Source organism: Homo sapiens, chromosome 12 (genome assembly GCF_000001405.40).
Source record: "Homo sapiens chromosome 12, GRCh38.p14 Primary Assembly".
In the NCBI taxonomy this organism is placed as follows: domain Eukaryota; kingdom Metazoa; phylum Chordata; class Mammalia; order Primates; family Hominidae; genus Homo; species Homo sapiens.
The window spans coordinates 23,716,160-23,736,573 of NC_000012.12; the positions used below are offsets into that span (position 1 = coordinate 23,716,160).

General features: G+C 35.1%; 1 protein-coding gene across 42 annotated transcripts in view; it reads right to left on the reverse strand.

Moving 5' to 3' along the window:
• Positions 1 to 20,414, reverse strand: part of SOX5 (SRY-box transcription factor 5) — a 1,033,147-nt gene that overhangs the window by 186,656 nt on the left and 826,077 nt on the right. For all 42 annotated transcript variants that reach the window (XM_024449159.2, XM_024449158.2, XM_047429458.1 and 39 more), the window contains one exon: positions 18,525 to 18,593. In XM_024449159.2, coding sequence (XP_024304927.1) covers positions 18,525 to 18,593 — 69 coding nt within the window. The remainder of the gene's footprint in view (positions 1 to 18,524; positions 18,594 to 20,414) is intronic.

Genomic DNA, 20,414 nt, shown 5'->3' on the forward strand with positions numbered 1-20,414 from the left:
GCAACTTAATTAATGTAAAGGTTTATAAAGTAGGCTAATACCAAAATTCAATTTGACTAAGGTCAAAATTAATTCAGAGATGAAGTCGGTAAAGATACTGAAAGCTAGCATTCATTATTAACAGAGGAAAAGAAAAAAAGAGAACTTTGGCATAGTTAATGATTTTGTCAGAAAACAGGCTTATCCATTGTTCTTATAAACACATGTCTTATTTCATATGTATGATAATGAAATGTGTTGTAAGGCATAATACTGGGACAGTCGATTATGATCAAGCAAACTCTTTTAGACACTACACTAATATGTATGCCACTAATTAAAGCTATGAAGTAAATTCATAATTCTTTAGCTATTTTCTCTCTGGCTCTTTCTTCTTGGGGAAAAAGAAACACCAACAAGAAATTTTTAAAAAAGCCTTTCTGGGATGTTGATCACTAAAATTTCAAGTTCAGAGTGCTAAGAGGAAGCACAAGAGGAAAAAATAGATTTGCAAAAACATCATTCGTATGTTCTGGTTCTCTTATAAGGCCCTCTTATATCACTGTATTTAATTTTTTATCTTAACAGCTACGTGAGAGATACTAAAATGTCTAGTCTATTTCTGAAGAGGCTGAGAATCAATGACATTAAGTGACTTGTACAAAGTTATATAATTAAAAAATAGTAAAGTCTGCTGTTTCTAAATCCCACAATCTGTGTACAACCCAAAAAGCTTTTAAAGGAAAATACCATCATTCTTCCCATGTGCCCTCTCTCAAGGTACCCTTAAAGATACAGCCACCATCCACACACAAAGGAATGCCTCTGTGCTCCTGTGCTTGGCTCTTCCAAGTCCTATGCCCTTTTTGTGGCCTTTTAGCTGATGCTCCTTATCCCTTGCTTACTTTGGCCCTTCAAGATTTGAGGTAGCTACCATTACAGACTCAGTTTACTTTTTAATAAAGTTATATCATTGACTTTCTCCCACAGGATTCCGACAATTGGAGTCATGTGTAAGCACTGTTTCAAAAAATATTTTCCTGACAGTAGAAAAAATATTTGGATGTTTGATCTCTACCTTATTGATATCAACTTGGGGGTCCTTCATATATCTTGCATAAATATTAACACCATTACTGAACTTTAAAAGGCCAAAAATATTCCAGTTGTGTTGGTTACACACATTGCAATGAATTGTGACTTTATTCATTAAGAGATGTAGCAAATATAGTCTGTATTTCACAACTTTCTGTCAGCCCTCAACCATAATTTTTTTTCTTTTACCCATCAATGACAAAAAAATGTATTCTTACCTAATTACTGCTCTTTCACTTTTGGGAAGCTATTAAATAGTGAGCAGAAAACAGGCCTGGAGCATTTCTCACCATCATGTTTATTAAGAGCAGCTCAGGATCACATAAGGGGAGAATTATATTTCCTATGTAAGCAGGTGGGTATGTAAGATTGTAAAAAGAGAGCCTCAGTGAAAGAGTCCCTATGAGTAGGAGCAGATCATTATAACAGATGATGTGGGCAGACATCCCACTGATATTTAGTACGGCTTAACACAGCCAGAACGGAATAAAACTTAACTGTGGTCAAGGTGGAGAGAAGGGATGAGTACTAATAAAGTAAATACAGCACATCCTGAGGTTATTTTCTGCTTCTCCTTTAAGTTAACACTGTACTGCAAAGAGAAAAGTTTTATAACTATATTCCAGCTATCTGAACAGTTATTGGCACTGGGGGAAAATGTCTACCAAACTTTTCATGTATTTTCTTGATGAGATTTTTCCTTTTTGATTTTAATAGAGAAAAACTATAATGTTTGCCTTATTGCCTAGATGATAGTTATTAAAGTAAAAAAATTCTTAAACAGGTTATTAGCATCCTTAAAATATTTTAAAATTAAAGACATACTCCAAGTTCATGATAATTTTTAAAAACCTTTCTGCAAAGGAGTATATTTTTTAAAAAATCAAGCCATAAATATGTGTGTATGTGGTAGATATTTCAAATAGAAAAGAACATCAAAGTTTAGTATATTAGCACTTCTTAATGCTACTGGAAGACACCAGTTAGATGAAATGAAAAAAATAAATAAAATGGTGTAATTATTCTGGTATACACACATTGCTTGTGCTTTCTAAAATATTCTCAGTGAAAATAAATTTAAATATCCAAGAATTATTCCTTCATGAAGACATTTCCATTTCATTTTGAGGCTGCAAAACTCTTAAAGATAAGGACCACACTTCCTATCTTAATCTTTGCATACAGAAAGAGAGATTGGAAAAATGGAATCAACATCTTAAGGTTCATAATTTCAGGGACTTGGCAGAATTAGACCACAGTAGGTTAACCTAAGTTGAACTAGGATGATTGCAAAATACAATGTTTTTATAAACCATGTTTAATCTCTCATCTTTACCTCTAAAAATGCAGATGATTTTGATTTTTCTAAAGCCCCTTTGTGTCTGTTTTCCTATTATTATTTCACTGTTTATTATCCTGCATCAAAAACCTTATAAAACAACAAATTGAGTTTTAATTTGAAAAGTTTTGTTATTTCATATTTCCTTTCCATTTTCTCTGATCAAGTTTCAAAATGAAAGCAACCAAAGTGAGAGAAAGGAAAAGGAAAAGACTGAAAACAAATGGCTGCTAATGCAGCTACATGGAGGAGACGGGCAATAGGAGAACATCAATTCCAAACGGTTCTCAATAGGGCAGTAAAAAGCTTAGCAAAAAGGTACCTCTTTGCAATTTTAGATAAAATATAAAATTCTAGGGATTTGATCAGAGAGAGAAGGAGAAATGGGGGAAGACATTATACCTAAGCATCAGAAGCCATTAAAAATCTCAGAGTGGGTAAAGTTATAGCATACATGGTTTTGAGAGTTTTTGTTAGTTGCATGAATATTGTTATTTGATACTCTTTAGTATGAAAGTAACTCAAGAATGTCCATGGATTGGCTTCAATATTTTTTAATTTTTTCTGCTATTGACTTCTCATGTTATTTCTGTGATTATGATTATATGCAAAAATAAAATTATCGGATACCATGCGTCATGACATGGATGAGCACAGATTTATTGGATGAATCAGAATCTAATTACTTATTACTCAAAGCAGGTTTTGTTTACATGTATTAACATTTTATCTTATGTTGGCTACATGAGAGATAAATAAATACCATTTAATAATGATAGTATTGTGAGAAGTGAGATTCACAAGGTTTCTAAGCTCTCCTCATAACTATAAAGATTATTAGCATTTCCATGCTACCAGGGTACTAATGTTTCTTTATAAAAAGGAGCTATTTGCCAAGCATGGTGACTCACACCTGTAATCCCAGCACTTTGGGAAGCCGAGGCATGAGGAACCCTTAAGGCCAGAAGTTTGAGACCAGCCTGGGCAACATAGGGAGGGTCCCCCCATCTCTACAAAACATATATTTTTAATTAGCTGGGCATGGATGGTGGCATGCACCTGTGGTCCTAGCCACTCAGGAGGCTGAGGTGGGACAATTGCTTGAGCCCTGAGCCCCTGCCCAGTTTGAGGCTGCAATGAGTTACGATTGTGCCACTGCATGAGCCTGGGCAACAGAGTGAGACCCTGCTTTCAAAAAAAACCCCAGCTATTTACCAAAAAAAAAAAAAAAAAAAAAAACTGATGGATAGTTATTTCTGCATTATGTTCATTTCTCCTAAATTCTCAGAGAGATGATCTGCTGTTCAAGAGTGATTTTGTATCACAAGCATGGGAATGACTGGGTACAAAGCAATCAGGTAAGAGACAGTGTAAAAGAGAGGAACAAAAATGATATGAGCCAGTAGAAGACAGGTTTAAGTAACGATGTGTTGATGGAAGTATTTATACACCTCAAGATCATGCTTGTAATGCATTTAAGAGCAGTAGCCTTTGTTAATCACAAAAAAGACTCATTCCATGTTTCAAGGGATCAAGATACAGAGAAAGTCTTGCTTTCCTGTTCTCTTATGTGAATGAAGCACCTGTTACAGCACAAAACAGAAAGAATTTTTTAAAACAATAGGAAACTAAGAAAAAAGCCTTCAATAAATGGTAGAATAGAAAGAAGCCTAATAAATACCCTACATGTGGAGAACTGTGAATGAGCAGTATTTTACGGTGGGAGAAAAAGTAAAATCAATTGTATAATGGGAAAATATTTTTCTTAGCCAGAATATTAATTTCCTCATTTAGGTTTTTAAAACATAACAAGGTATCAAAGAGGCCCTCTAAAATATTTGAGTTTTACTTTAAAAGAGTCTCAACTACCTTTTGTCAAAAGAGCACTTTTCTTGGAGAAATACATTCATCTGTACTTTTATACTAGAACATTATTTTTTCATTTATTTGGTTAGTTCACAAATCCCAATGATATGTTGTTAAACATTTTGATCCAAAATGGGTCAAAGAGAGATACTAACTCACTGTAAAAATGATCTTTAAAAAAAAATACAGAGACTATTATGAACCAATGAAATATATGTTGTTAAAGTTTTTTATATGTACCTTCCAAAATAAATTACTAATTTCAGTGAATCAAAATTTAAGATTTCCTAATTGTTCTCTTAAAAACGTGTCATTTACAATTTTTATAAAAACATTCAAATATTGTTCCAAATGTCTTCAGCATTAGACTTAATATTTGTTTCAAATTCCAGATAAAGTCAACATGATGGGCTCGGCACAATTGCTCTTATTTTGTGTTCATCCGTACCTACGATCTTGATCTATTTAATATGATTAACCAGAACTAAGGTAAGACCCAGAAGAACAGGGTCTATGCCTAATTAGTTATAGGACTTGGGGATGGCCCTTTTCATTTCTGGACCATATCTTCATCTACAAAAGAAGAAAAAGCTGGACCGAATTATCTCTAAAGTCTGTTTTTCTATATTAATTATTTTATTTATTTATTTATTTATTTATTTTTGAGACGGAGTTTCACTCTTGTTGCCCAGGCTGGAGTGCAATGGCACGATCTTGGCTGACTGCAACCTCCACCTCCCAGGTTCAAGCGATTCTCCTGCCTCAGCCTCCAGAGTAGCTGGGATTACAGGCATGCGCCACCATGCCCAGCTAATTTTGTATTTTTAGTAGAGATGGGGTTTCTCCATATTGGTCAGGCTGGTCTCGAACTCCCGACCTTAGGTGATCCACCAGCCTCAGCCTCCCAAAGCGCTGGGATTACAGGCATGAGCCACCGTGCCTGGCCTATATTAATTATTTTATTGATCAAAAAGTTCTAATTCAGTAGTACTCACAGTGTTGGTCTGTGATGAGGTCAGTAGCTTATCCGAGAGCGTAAACTACCAAACTGTTACCCTCATCAAAAAAAAAAACTTACAGTAAAAAAGAATGTCAGCTAAATTAAAGTGCATCCGGCAAGCTCCTTATCTTAACTGAGGACCTGTAACAGTTCGCAGAATGGCCTGAGTTCCACACTGTCCTAACACATTCTTCCTGCTCACTCAAATGACTATCTTTGAGTATACCCCAGTTTTTACAGCAATATAAACATTAGTAGTCAATTCTATGGCATGAGAGGAGTGAAATAATTTGCAGGATCAAGAATTGCACCCACAAAGCATGGAGTTGGCTGTTCATTAAATAGTTAAGAGATTATACATGAAGTTTAGCCTACGTGCACAGGCACAAGCCAAGGAAGCTTGAAAAATTATCCATGAATATGGTTATTATTACCATATCTCCAAATTTAAAAACGAGGATATATGAATGGACAGAAACAGGTTTATGTATGGGTTATCGAACTGAAACCAGTTATTTAAATAGAGAGCATGGTGTTCACAGGAGGGTAAATATCATTGAGAAATACTGCATCTACCTTGTTAGGGGTCCAAAAAATACAAAATTGTGTGAATACACAGACAAAATATTTTGAAACATAAATGTCCTAGAAAATGTAAAGGATGATGCACGTTCTATACACATAAGCCTAATCACTGAGCATAAAAAATTGTTATTTTCAGAAGTTTCTATTTGTGGAACTTACAGCTCAGTAAAGCTGAATATACTTTCATTAGAACAGTCTCAAAACTATGTTTAAAATAGAAAGAAGAAATATACCCTTACCTGATTTTATTATATAACTATGATATTTCAGTTAGAGATGATGGAATATTTTAAACATACATGCTAAATATTAAATATTTACACAAGAAGGGAAGAGGGGGAGGTGAATTGAGATTCTCCCTCAGGGTAAAAATTACTATCTATGTTAGTGGATGACATTCTTATTATTCAGGTGTTCTGAGGCATCCATTTGGTCAAAGCTAGCTGTTCATATAAATAATGTTGGAAGTCTATAGTTACATATTTTTTAATTTGGAAATTTCATCACAAATGTATATAAATGATTAACCTTGGATTCATTTCACAAATTGTGACCTTAACAACAATGCTCTTTCTTTCACCCTTTGAAGCTGTTTGCTTGCGAAATGATTTTTGTCTCTCCTATATATACATACACATATACCACAATTCTATATACATCACTTCATTTTAAACGTCTTTTAGTGCTCCTGAGTCTGACTGATGTAAGATGTTATTTTGAACATGCCAAAGCATCTAAACGGCTCTGGTCTTTTCTTTTCAGCCTGCATTCCTTGATAAGTGGCAAAGCTTCCCACTTATCAGTCACTCAAAGTGACTGTAGCTGTCAGTTGTGTACAAAGCGCAATCAGTTTGGAAGCGGAGACACCAGCATTTTTCTTCTCAGCTTGAAGCAAACACGTTTTGACTGCTAGTCATTCAATTTTAAAGCATCCTCAATTAGGGGCGGATGAAGATATAAAGAAAACACATCCTAAATACCTCCAGCAGGCAACAGAAAAATTTTATTGTTATCTCTTGATTTACCTTACGGCAGCCCTATCCCTCCTCTTTTTCTGGCTGCATGACACGGGTGCTCATGACAACGTACCCTCTATCATGAAAAGATTGCCATAATATATTATACTAACAATCTGGGAAACCTTTCTTTGGGCTTGTTTATGTTTTCTTGCTCTCTCTCTCTCTTTCTCCCTCTCTCTCTCTCTCAAATTGCCCCACAGAAAATCAAATAATTGACTTTTAAAATGAAAACAAACTCAATCTTTCCAACTTACTCTGTTTATTACTGATCAAGTTTTTATTCAACGAAAACATAAAATCCAATTGGATAATGAAAAGAAAAAGAAAAAAAGTTAGCCAGAGAAAGGAACTATGTATGGGAGGGAAAAATAAAAAGAGTAAAAGAAATCACGAGTGGCTATGTCAGACAATCCAGCAGCAGGTATGGATGTAGGTATTCGCCAAGCCATGGAAAGGAATACAGAAGTAGAAAGAGAATTAAAAAGGTATTCAGAACTAAACGGTGGTAATTAGAGGAGAAAAATTATATATATATATATACACACACACACACACACGCACTCACACACACACAAACACACATACACACACATATATGCAATAAACAGAGAAGATAAAAGAAAAGTAAATGATCAAAAAAAGATATATAGAAACCTAGGTATGTATGTATGAATACACATACAATTCATATACAATGTATACACAGAAATTAATATAATCTGTAATTAAATATATGTATATGACATTAAAACCTTCTCATTAGTTATTTTAGTTAAACATTTATGTACATTATAAAGTTAGTTCACCTTTTCTAATCTACTATGTAGATATAAGTCTCAACATAAGATAATTCTTTTTAAAGAGATGATATTTATCTATTATAAGCATAGCATCCTATTTTCTTAGCATTTATCAGTGAAAGTTTAGTTGTATGCAATATTTGCATATGTGGAAAATGTCTTTTCCTGATTTATAAATATTTATTTTCACCATTTATAAAAGGACAATCTCTTATCTTGTTTTACTGCAGAAAGCGGAAATAAATTACTTTTAAAAAAATATCCTGCCACATTTGCCAACCTGATAGATTTAACTCAGTTTGAAAAGACCAATTAGTCTTATTTTCTAGAGATCATCTGAATTAAATCACTCATTACTCTTCTAGTAAGAAGAGGGAGGAAGACACCCCTTCAGTTTACAAAGTACTCAACTGTCAGGGTTTCAGAATAACACACACGCATACACACACACATACACACAGGCCTCAGTTCTATCATCTATAAAATGGATATAATAACACAAACTGTCTGAATTCTTGTGCTAATAATGTAAGATGACCTCTGTAAAATGCCAAATACTTAATAAGCAATAGGCTGCTCCTTCTTCTTACCAGTACAGTACAAAGAGATCATATTTTTTCCCTGTTTATAATATCAAGTCAAAAATTTATTGAAATAGAATGACATTTCAAAGGTAGTATACTAAATAGTTCATGGTTTACAAATCCTAAGATTACTAATTTAACCTTATTTGCTACTGTAACTACTAATCTTTAAGACAGGAGATTTATGTACCTTAAACTGTTTGATAGGGTTACAAATCCTAGATATCCCTAGAAAGTTTTGGGATTATTTTGGATTGGGCTGTCAGAGGTGGCCTCCCTGACAAGCATGGCATTTGAAGAGATTTGAATGAAGTAAAGGTCTAAATTATATGATTAAAAGAGTATTCCAGGCCATGAGAATAACCAGTGCAAATGCCCTGATGGTAGAACACTCAGCACGTTCCCAGCAACCAAGAAGGACAGTTCAATCACATTTAAAAGATCACTCTAGCAGCTATGTGAAAAATCTACTTGGTGGGGTAAACAAAGGAAGTAGGGTGACCAACATGGTTAGGAGCTTACTGCAGTAGTCTGAGAAATGATGGTGAATTAGACCAGAATGGTGTTGGTCAATTTGACAGATGTTGGACAGAAAACCAATGTAGATGGATTAGTTGTGAGATGTGAAAGAATGAGGATTCCAGGATGTCTCCTAGGTATTCGCCACAGAAAACAGGCAAATGGTATCATATTCAGAGGAGGAGAAACTGGGAAAGAATGAGTTTGGGGAAGATAATTAAAGGATATGTTTTTAAAATGTGAACTTTGAAGTGCCTGTTAGGTATCCATTTGTATTAGTCTGTTCTCACACTGCTAATAAAGACATATCCAAGACTGAGTAATTTATAAAGGAAAGAAGTTTAATAAACTCACAGTTCCACATGGCTGGGGAGGTCACACAATCATGGCGGAGATGAAGGAAGAGCAATGGGACGTCTTACATGGCAGCAGGCAACAGAGAGCTTGTGCAGGGGAACTCCCCTTTATAAAACCATCAGATCTCATGAGACTTATTCACTATCATGAGAACAGCATGGGAAAGATCCACCCCCATGATTCAATGACCTCCCACTGGGTCCCTCCTATGACATGTGGGAATTATGGGAGCTACAATTCAAAATGAGATTTGGGTGGGGACACAGACAAACCATATCACCATTTAAATGGAACTGGGGTTTCTGACTCTGAAGATCAGGAGAGAAATTTAGGCTGGAGAGACAAATTTTGGAATATTATTTTCAGGGTGACATAAAACCACTGACCAACTGAGACCATTTAGACAGTAAGTGTAGATACGGAAGTCAGATGATGGAGCATTATCACAATTCAGCCTTTTAAAGATGGGCAGACAATCTACCAAATAAGACTGGGAATAAGAAATAGAAACTTAAAGAGAAAAGCAAACTGTGCTGGACTGAAAAGTATTACAAAAATATGGGAGTGATCAAAATTTTCAAATGCTGCTGTAAGCTCAAGTATGATAAAGACTGAGAATTTTCCACTTCTAGAATACTCTCTTTGTAGAAGAAGCTATCCCAGTTTTCCCTTTTGCTTTTCCTTCAAGGGAAAACTAGGGATAAGCCTAGTGGCACACAGGTGTCCTTAATTCCCTACTCATCTTTTCTTTCCCAATTTATTCACCTGTTTGGCTCTCTTTTCTGAAGAATAATGGTGTTAAATACATACATCCCCGAGAGAGAGAGAGAGAGAGAGAGAGAGAGAGAGAGAGAGAGAGAGAGAGAGAGAGAGGTCAGTTTCTCACTGTTTGTAAGTTACATGAAAATTTACTAGCAAAAGCTCAAAAGAGTAGAAGTTAGTACTCTGTCTAGGGAGCTGAAGCAAATTTGCCATATGTTAGAGATGTCTGGAATGTATGTCTTGAATCATGACGTAACTGTGCTCTTCATAGAGTAATTCATTTTGTTAACATTCTGTTAATTTCAATGGCATTTATTTTTCTATTTGTTAACTCTTTTCAAAGACAGGAGGTAGAAATTCATTCTAAAGACTTTGTGAGTACCCCCAGCTATAGCATTTATTTTACCACACTATTGTGTAAATTAAAGTAAAATAAAAAGTGGTTCATTTTGGACCAACATACTGACTTCGGCCAACATTCCCAAATCTTTCTGTTGTTGTTGACTTGCTTTGTTTTGTTTCTACTACTTGAAAATTACATTCCCAGGGGCGTATATAAGCAATGATAGTCCCTATTTTGTTAAGAGGATATGGACTACAGAGCCTCAGTGAGAAACAGTTCAAGTTTGTCCACAGGTAATTTTGTTTGGGAAGAGGTTGAAAAGTCATGGGAAAAATGACTGTCAGTCTGCTTTCTGGGCCAATCTCAGTGATTCCAGAATGGCCATATTTACAACTTGTGAAAAAGCAGCTGCTCCAGACACATGGCAGATTTGGATAAAATGTTCCCAATGCTGAAGCCCGCTGGTTCTGTGCCTCTGATATTTCAGTTTACATGCAGATCTCTCTTCTTTAGACCACAGCAACGCTAACCAAAGTTTAAACAATTATCTAAATAGATTAAATGAACCCAGGATTCACTTCAGAAATCATACTGCAAAGATTGTAGAAGAAAGAAACACAGAAATGGGAAAACAGGAAAATAAAAATAATAAAGAAATTTGAGATTCCAGATAAAAAGCAAAAGAAAAAATGTCCTTCCATTAAATGCATTTTTTAGTGATTTTTCTGAGCAGCTCAAGTCAGGATGAGTTATAAAACCAGGATTACAACTTCTAAACATTGTTATCAACATCACGTCAATATAGTAATCAGCTTAGAGCAACACAGACTTTGTTATTTCAAATAGCGTCTCAATAAAAATATTAAAAAGTTCAAAATATCAAGGACATAGAGTAGTTAAAAATCCTATATAAATATAACCTCTCATGTTTGATAAATTCATCCAAAACAGAGGTCAGAGGGCTAGAAAGCACATATCCAGGAAAAGAGGATTCTGGAGGTTTTATTTAATCATAAGAGTTTGGAGCAATTTATGGAAATAATAAGACCAATAACATAAGGAGAAAAAATAACAGAAATTGGCAGTTGGGAGTAACAGAAGAGGAGATACACCATCCTCATTTGACAAGGCAAGTGTCAAGGAACACTTTATACTTGATTGAACAAGAAAAGGGGTTGTAAGTAAAATGAAGTTTAATAGCACCTACTCAATAAATTTAAATAATATATAACTGCATCTTGAGGAAGGGGAAAGGAGAGTGGCAATAGGGAGCTAGTAAATCTTCATGTTTCCAGGATCATGGTATTTAAAGTTGATAAGTCAGAAATAGCACTATAATTAAATTTTTTGATAGAGAAGTAAATACTAGGAGGAAGATTTTAAAGTGGCTCCTTCTGAGTAAAAGAAGAGTAAAGTATAGAGAACTGAGCTTGAGATGGTTGCTTTCATTTCTTTTTGGTACTTTCTTAGCCATGTAGCACGTGTTGTATCAATGAAGATGAAAATATATACACCTGTCAATCCGTATGTCTGTCTACAGAGACAGGTTTGCCTAGACAGAGAAATAAGAAGAATGAGTGGATTTCTACCATTAGGTAATTGCCAGGAGACATATTAAAAAAAGAATACTTAAGGAATTTTAAAGTGGCTCCCTCTGAGTGAAAGGACAGGGCTGCAGGCAGTTATCCTTACGAACCCTTCAGGGCAGGCCACTTGTCTTCTCAAATGGAAGTTATGCATCCAGAAAATACAAAGAAGAAAGTCATCCTTAAAGCTACTTCTTTATATCTCCATATTTCCTCCTCTAATAATCTATCTGAATGCCAGGAAATTGTATCCTGTCCAGTTATGATGTATTTTATTTCACATAGCAAAACATTAGTTGGAGCTGAAGGAGTTAATGCGTGTCTTTCTCAGGTTGAAATGCTACCTTAACTACACAGTGTTTATTCTTGGCATTTGCAGTCTCCAAAAGAGACAAGGTTACTTTGTAATCTCTTTGTGCTCTTGTATGTGTGCAGGGTCTTGTTGAGGGGGGTAAAATGCTTACCACACTCAGGGAAAGAAATCATACATCAGCAGGTCAGTTAGGTACATACTATTATTTCACCTGTAACATTATTATGTTTCAATACAATATTTCAATGGATTTCCTTCTGCGTAATAATTTTTCAAGAATTACCAAAACTTTAATGAGCTCAGAGAACTTTGGTGCCAATAAAATGAAACCTTTATCACAAATTGGTTGAGCCCATGACTGCAACTTAATCATTCAATTGTATATAAGTCAAGTTGTATTTTTACCGTGTAGGAATAAGTTCCCAGGGAAAGAAAACTCATTTTAAAACTTAGGGCCATTAAGCCTTAAATGGTAGAATATTGGTAAAATAAAAATGAACTGAGCCAAAACTCGGGTAACTTGGAATTGAGCCATTGTTCCACAAGAAACAACTTATGTGACACTGGGAAAAATTTCTAACCTTACTTAGTTTTAGTTTACAAATGTCAAAATGAGAGATAGGTCTAAATAAAGCCTTTCTAAAAACCTCTTGTAGTTCTAAAATCATATGAATATGGAACACTGAACTCACAGTTTTTAGTGACTACTGCCATGTAAAGTATATTCTTTTTTTTTTTTTCCTAGAAGTTCTCCTCTTGCTGGAAACATTCATGAATTGCCCATCATTGGAAATACAGAAAGCACACATTTTTCTCTCTAATGACTTTGGCAAAAATGTTTAGCCCATGTACTTGCTAAATACCAGTCACAGTCCCATTTAATCTTCAGAGAACCAGGTGTTAGTTAGGTATTATATTTCCTTTTTTATAGATTGCAATAATAAAACTCAAAGGGAGTAAACCATCTTCTCAAGATCACACGGCAGATATCAGATGTGAAGATGCACAGACTGAGTTCAGGTTCATCTTATTCCAGATCACTGTTCTCAATCATCTTTTAAAAAACTATTCAACATAATTAAAATTGCATTTCATACAGGTAAATATAATCCTACACCACCTGAAGCAACCAAGTTCCTTCCTACATACTATGCAATGCACACTGCCAAACTAAGAATACAAGAGAATGGAAATATTTTCTTTGCTCTACCCTTAGGTCCTGACAGAATCAGTGACCCAAAGGTATGACTAGTCCTGCACATGCTTAACTTATGAATCAGAAACAATGACAGGAGATTATTAAATACTAATTCTTTGCTTGCAAGAGAACACAATGAACAATAGTTGGAAAAGTTAATCAGATGGGGAAATGGGGTAAATTTTTGGAATCTTTTATAAAAGTTCAAACACTGATGCCCTGGTATGGGAATCATAAAATATGCAGTTGAAAAGAAGTACAGTATCTTTAAACTTGCAATTAAAAAGTATCTTAAGTAGATTTCATGCTAGAACGCATTGTCGGATTAGCCCTATTAGTTGCTGTAAAGAACCTTAAATTCCACTAAGTATTATTGAAAAGGAGTAAGAAACTTATAACTAGGACACGCTTCTCACACACATGCCCAAAACTATAGAAACCCTGTCCCACCAGAAGCTTCAAGATGACAGGAAACTTAGGTCTCCAGGAACACTCAATTTGTTGTCATAATGAAAGCTGAGTAGAAGTCACTCAGTCACTTCCTGTGAAACAGTGAATCAGGTCAAGATGAACCACTGGTCCAGGATCTTTACTGGAAACATAAAGCAACTAACTATCAATATTAGAAACAGGTTGATTTAATGTAAAAAAGAAAATAGGAAATAAAATTGCTAAAAGATGGGGACTGTAGAATAGGCAACAGAGTAAGAGGGAAAAAAAAGAGCTTCCCTTCCAAAAATTCTAGAAAGATATCTTATTCTAAAATATTTACAAATTTCATCTATTAATATGCATTAAAGTTAGCTTGATACAGTAAATTGAAATTTAAAAAAGTATCTTTTAAGTCAATAAACACAAATATTAGAGGGAAATATTCCTGAACAGTAGAAAAATAAGACAAACTTCTTAGTGCTTCTAAAATTAAGAGTCTCATAGAAAAGTGGACATGTTCTTGAGGGAAGATGGATATTTCTGGTATTTGTAGAGTAAACTGATTTATGATATTGCAAACAATAATAGAAAACATTCTTAATCCTTAATGAATTAGGTGGGTCAACCTGGCAGAAGACTGTAACCCTACAAAGTCTTTATAAGGAAGAAATGTAGATTGAGTTTTTAATCCAGTTAGAATTATGCAGTTTTAGAGCTAAGGTTGCTTTTTAAAGAAATAAAAATAGTTCATAAAGAACTGATCCTAAGCAATTAAATAAAACCCGTTCACTTGCAGATTCTTATGGCATTTTCTCTAGAGTAGGTTTACCATACAGCTAAACCTACCACCACTCTTTTCATCAGAGGTTGAGAAAGAATTAAAAAGGCCAAGAGAAACTTGAAATAACCTGGATGTGATGATTAATTATACGTGTCCAGTTGTCTGGATTGAGGATTACCTAGATACCTGGTAAAACATTATGCCGGGGTGTGTTGTGAGGTTGCTTTCTGAGGAGATTAGCACGTGAGTCTAAGTGGCCTAGGTGGGGAACATTCACCCTCTCAATGTGGGCAGGCACCTTCTAATCTGCTGAGGATCCAGAAAGAACAAAAACAGAGGAAAGGTGAATGCGTGGATCTATCTGGTGGGACTGGGATACACTCTTCTTCTGTCCTTAGACATCAACTTCAGGCCCCTCATCTTTGTACTCCAGGACTCACACTTGCAGCTTCCCGGCTTCTGAGGCCATTGGCCTTGGAGTGAAAGTTGTATCAACAGCTTCCCTGGTTCTGAGGCCTTTGCACTTGGACTGAGAACCATGCCGCCAGCCTCCCAGGGTCTCCAGCTTGCAGAAGGCCTGTTGCAGAACTTAGCCTCCATAATTGTGTGAGCCAATCACCCAGTAAGTCCCCTCTCATATATTTATCTATACCTACATCTATATTTATATCTATCTATATCATCCATATCTATATCTTCTATTGATTCTGTCATTTTGGGGAGCCCTGAGTAATATACTGGGGTATTAGAGTATGTAAATGTTTGTGCATACACATAAACATACAAACTTGTTCATGCTTTTTTAATCAAATGATATATATTTCAAATGGAATAAAGACATCTAAATTGACTTCTCCTTTAGCAAGATCTCACAACAACAATGAGCAAAATGTAGGAAAATATTATCTTTCCTGTCATGTAACATATCCATCAAATGAAAAAAATTGCCCAGCTCTAACTCTTATCAATCGAATTCACACAGCAGATCTGTCTACCCCACTTGATGTATTGGATTCCTTTGCTAAAACTGGACCAAGATAATGTCTTTTGTATTCATATATGAAACAAACATTTTAAAGGCATTCTTAATTGTGGACTATAAAACGCTACAGTCTACTACTCCATCAATATACGCGTTGTTTTCTAAGGTCTGGAACAACAACAATGGTATAAAACATCTAAGAAAGTACAATCAGGATGAATAATTTAAGTTAGTATGTTTATTTCTACAAGGTATCAAGGCACTGTATTTAAAAAAGAAAAAAGTAGATGGAAATTCTAGATGAGTATTTTCAAATATCAAATAAGATAATCTATGGTAAATTATTTTGTGAGCATTCAATTATATATCCATTTTTAATTAAAATAAATCTTATAATATTTGCTATACATTCCAATTGCCTTTCATGATAGCAGATTGTATATTTACTAGTCTTCATCCTTGCCCTATGCTTCCAAGAAAAAGGAGGCAGTAGGAAGAAGGAGAAAAGGGAAGAAAAAACATTCTAAAATGAAATATGGCAAAGATTTATGTGGCGGGAAAATTAGTCTGTTCTACATTTTTAATGTCCTATTTCTACATATGTCACCACATCAGAGCTTCCCATAATTGTTTGAACAATCTCGCAGTAGACTAAACAATTCAAATATATTGTTACTTTCATAACTATTAAGTGTTTATAAGACTTCTCCAAATTAACAATTGACAAAATATATTTCAGAACTATGCTTTTCGTTAATGAATATACTGGAAGCTGTGAAAATGAATTTCTTTCAGGTTATCAGTCTTGCTCAGTACTTATTTGTTGCCTGAAAGGGTTTTGACTCTGTCAGTTTCATTTATCTGCACTAACTCTAGAAAGAAGACAAACACACATATATAACTCAATATCTCAATGTTTCCCTCAAATTACTTTCAGTGTGACTTTATTTCCTTTAGGGACTTTTTCTTTTCCCACTCTGAAATAGTTAGGCTGGCCACCTAACACTTTGATCAAATAAAAATTCTAAGCTTTTAAAATTCTCATACTCCACAAAAGTTCTATTATAGTCAGAAAACTTTGCTTCTTATCCTAGCTCTACCAGTTTCTAATTGTGTGGTCTTGGGCATGTTGTTAAACTTGGCCTTTGCTCTCTGAAATACAGTTCCTATAGTCTTAGAATTTCTAGAACATATAATTTTTAAGTGCTTTTCATTAAAAAATGTTCTGACTTATAAATTACAGTGCTTCATGCTCTGAAGCAAGAATCCATCCATTTCAACTTTTTGTCATTATGACAGGGCTTAAAATCCACATTGTGAATGTAGTGGTCATAATTGTGGAATAATTCCTAAGAAAGCACTGAAGGTGTTGGCTAATCTAATTGGTCGGAACAGTTTATTGAGCCTTACACCCATTTACAATATGAGTTGAAATCTATTTTTGCCATTCTGTTTAACAAAGGACTTATTTCAGTATTACAAAAATTATAAAAATCTAAAACTATTGGCACACTTGTCAAATTGCAGTAAAATCAAGTGACTACCACATTGCTGATTATGGAATTACCTTACTTAGAATAAGAAAGTGCCATAACAATATTAATACCTATGCTTTGATAATTAATAACATTTTAAATGCAGATAACCAGGTACCATCGACTAAAAAGTCAGTGTACTTTGAACAATATGAAGTTCAATGAACAGTTTTAAACCACTGAAATGAATAACCACACTTCAGATATGAGTGGATTATAACATGTTGGAAATGTGCTGATCCTAATTGCAGTTAAGGAGGGGAAATGTCCTCGGCTGGAACATCTCACTGAACTTCCACTGTCTCACTGAAGCTATCTACGGGTCATTAAAATCCCAGGTAGAATAAGAAAGAAGGAACAGTGATAGGTCTGCTAAATCCATCAAAATTAGGTGCGCCTGACTCAATTAGATACAATAGGAGAAATCTGGATGGCAAAGAAGTTAAAACATGATTAATACAAGAGTGAAATAATTTTGACACATTTGCTTCCTGTCATTTATGATATTTACACTTAATAAAATATGTTGGATCTCAAGATATAACTTCAAGAGAATCATGAATTTCTCTCCAGATTAGCATACTGCAAAGCTAACAGTGGCCTCCAGATGGATGATGTCACATGGGGTTGGATTCATAGCTCCATGAATTAGGTTCCTTGATAGTCATAGCAAGTGAGTATTGAGCCCTGACACTATGCTAAGGCTCTTTATCCATGATTTCTTTTAACCCTCAAAAATCTCTCTATGAAGTAAGTGCTGTTCAGAAAGTAAATTGTCAGAAGGGAAACAAAGCTGAACTTTTGTCAAAGTTTATGACACTAGCAAGTTGTGGAAACAAGACATCACTGGAAACTTTTTTTCTTTTTGTTACCAATACAGCTGCTTCCTCCTGTATTGATGCTCCTTATTATTGCAAATTTCCAAATAACAAAAATATGGAGGTCCCACAGCCTTCAGGCTTGTTTTCTCCAGGCAAAACCACAGGTAAATCGACTTGAACACCAAATTATTACCATCCCTATGTTCCATCTTTATCACACATGGCTCTCGGGCATGCAATAAAAAAGTTCTATCTGGTACTACTTCTCTAACTGAAAACCCAGGTACCTTTCTGCTTTGGTTCCCTGCACCTATCCAGTTAAGAACACTTATAGACACGTTTTAACATTAAAATGTAGATAAAATGAAACCTTTGTCTACAATAATTTCTTCTCAGCATAAGATGAAAATAACTGTTAGCTTGCTTAGATTGAAGCTCCCTGACACAGTAGGGCCTGTAGACTGACCAGACACCATTTGCAAGATTTCCATGGCAGAGGAGGTGCTATGTCATGAATTAGCTTGAAAGTCATTTTTATTTTGGAGGTCATTTCAGTTAGGTATTTAAGGATAAGAAACAGAATATATATTTTTTAAATTGTAAGTATATTGAAATTATGATTTCTGACCTGGATCTGTTGCTGGAGCAAATTGATTTTGTGTTGTTGCTGTAGAAGCTGCTGCTGCTGTCTTGCAATCTGTGAAGAAATTGCACATGAGAAATTTACAAGTATATTGTAGTCCCGGAGGGAAGTTACTAATGTTCTGTTTCTCAAAGTTTGATTTGACACTGATTAAGATGATGAAAATAGACGTGTCTGTGCTCCTAAATTATCAGCAATTCATCCTAAATAAGATCAAGGAAGATATTTAGTCTTTAGGAACAGTTATGTTTCTTTTGGCCTAAAACAAATGAAGCCTAAGATACCACGGCAGTGATCAATCCCAGAAAGAAATGTCTGTTTTTCGAACATCCCTCTTCCTAGTGATATATTAAGAAGGCGCTGCTTCTGACATTTTCAGCCCTTTTCTATAACAGAGTGTTTCACAAATGGAGAAGGGGAGGTTTAAGACTGAGGAGTTCAGAGTAGCACAAAGTATTGCAAGACACTGTATTTATTAGTAAAGTTTTTGGTATTTTTTTTGTTTTTAGGTAAGTAATTTTCTCATTACTGCCTCTCACAAGCCCCTTACCACCAACTCAGTGCATGCTATTGTGGTTTCTGTTTCCATTTTTTTTTACCAAAATGATTCTTAAGAAGGTTGCCAATCACATGCATTATTTTAAAATTCTGAAGTGTTTTTCAGTTGTCGTCTTTTGACCTCTCATCAGAATTCAACACTCAAATGTTTTCCCCGATCATGAACTTTCTCTGTTGGCTTCTGTGACATCATCATACTTCCCTGGTTTCATTTCTGCCTCTCATGTTCTTCTCCTTCTTAGTCACCTTTAATGGCTCTTTCCAGCCATTAAATGTTGTAATTCTCTGAGGCTCAATTTTAGACTTTGTTCTTTTCCTTCATACTTACTTCCATATGTAAGCCAAGTGCTTCTAAATGTGCTTCTCTAGCCTAGAACTTTGTTTTAAGCATCAGGTCCATTTATTGAGAAACTTATTCAAAGGAACCTCAAGTTCAACAAGTCCCAAACTAAATTTGAGATTTAGCCTCCCATATAGTCATCTTAAGTATTTCCTAACTTAGGAAACAGCACAATCACTTACCACTCTCACTGTTATTTGTGTTTACTTCTACATTTACTTCTACATTTACCTTCTACATTTACTTAATATTATGCCCATGCTGTGACTTTATATTTGTTTATTTATTTGCTAGTAACATCTTTCTGTCTCCTAGGGAGAAGTCCATAAATTCAGTGAGGGTGGAGGCCATGTATATTTTACTCACTGTTCTCAGGAAGTCCGTTACAAAAGCAATGCTGAATGGATATCTAATAAGAGTGCATGAATAGATGAGATGAAAACTGTAAACATTTCATCACATGGGATAGGATATAACTTCTAACATCCTGAAACTTATCACTCTCTTATAAATAAGTTCTAGATCTCATTCTCATCAAGTAATAGTCACTAACATTTTTATTAAAAAAAAAAAAAAATCTCTTGGCCGGGTGTGGTGGCTCACGCCTGTAATCTCAGCATTTCGGGAGGCTGAGGTGGGTGGATCACGAGGTCAGGAGATCAAGACCATCCTGGCTAACAGGGTGAAACCCCATCTCTACTAAAAATACAAAAAAATTAGCCAGGCGTGGTGGCGGGCGCCTGTAGTCCCAGCTACTTGGGAGGCTGAGGCAGGAGAATGTCGTGAACCTGGGAAGTGGAGCTTGCAGTGAGCCAAGATCGCTCCACTGCACTCCAGCCTGGGTGACAGAGCGAGACTCCGTCTCAGAAATAATAAAAAAAAAAATCTCTTAACCTCTATACCTGAAAGTCAAAAATTCAGGAAAAAATTCACACATCACCATAAACAAAAGAACCCATGTGATGAGGATGGATGTA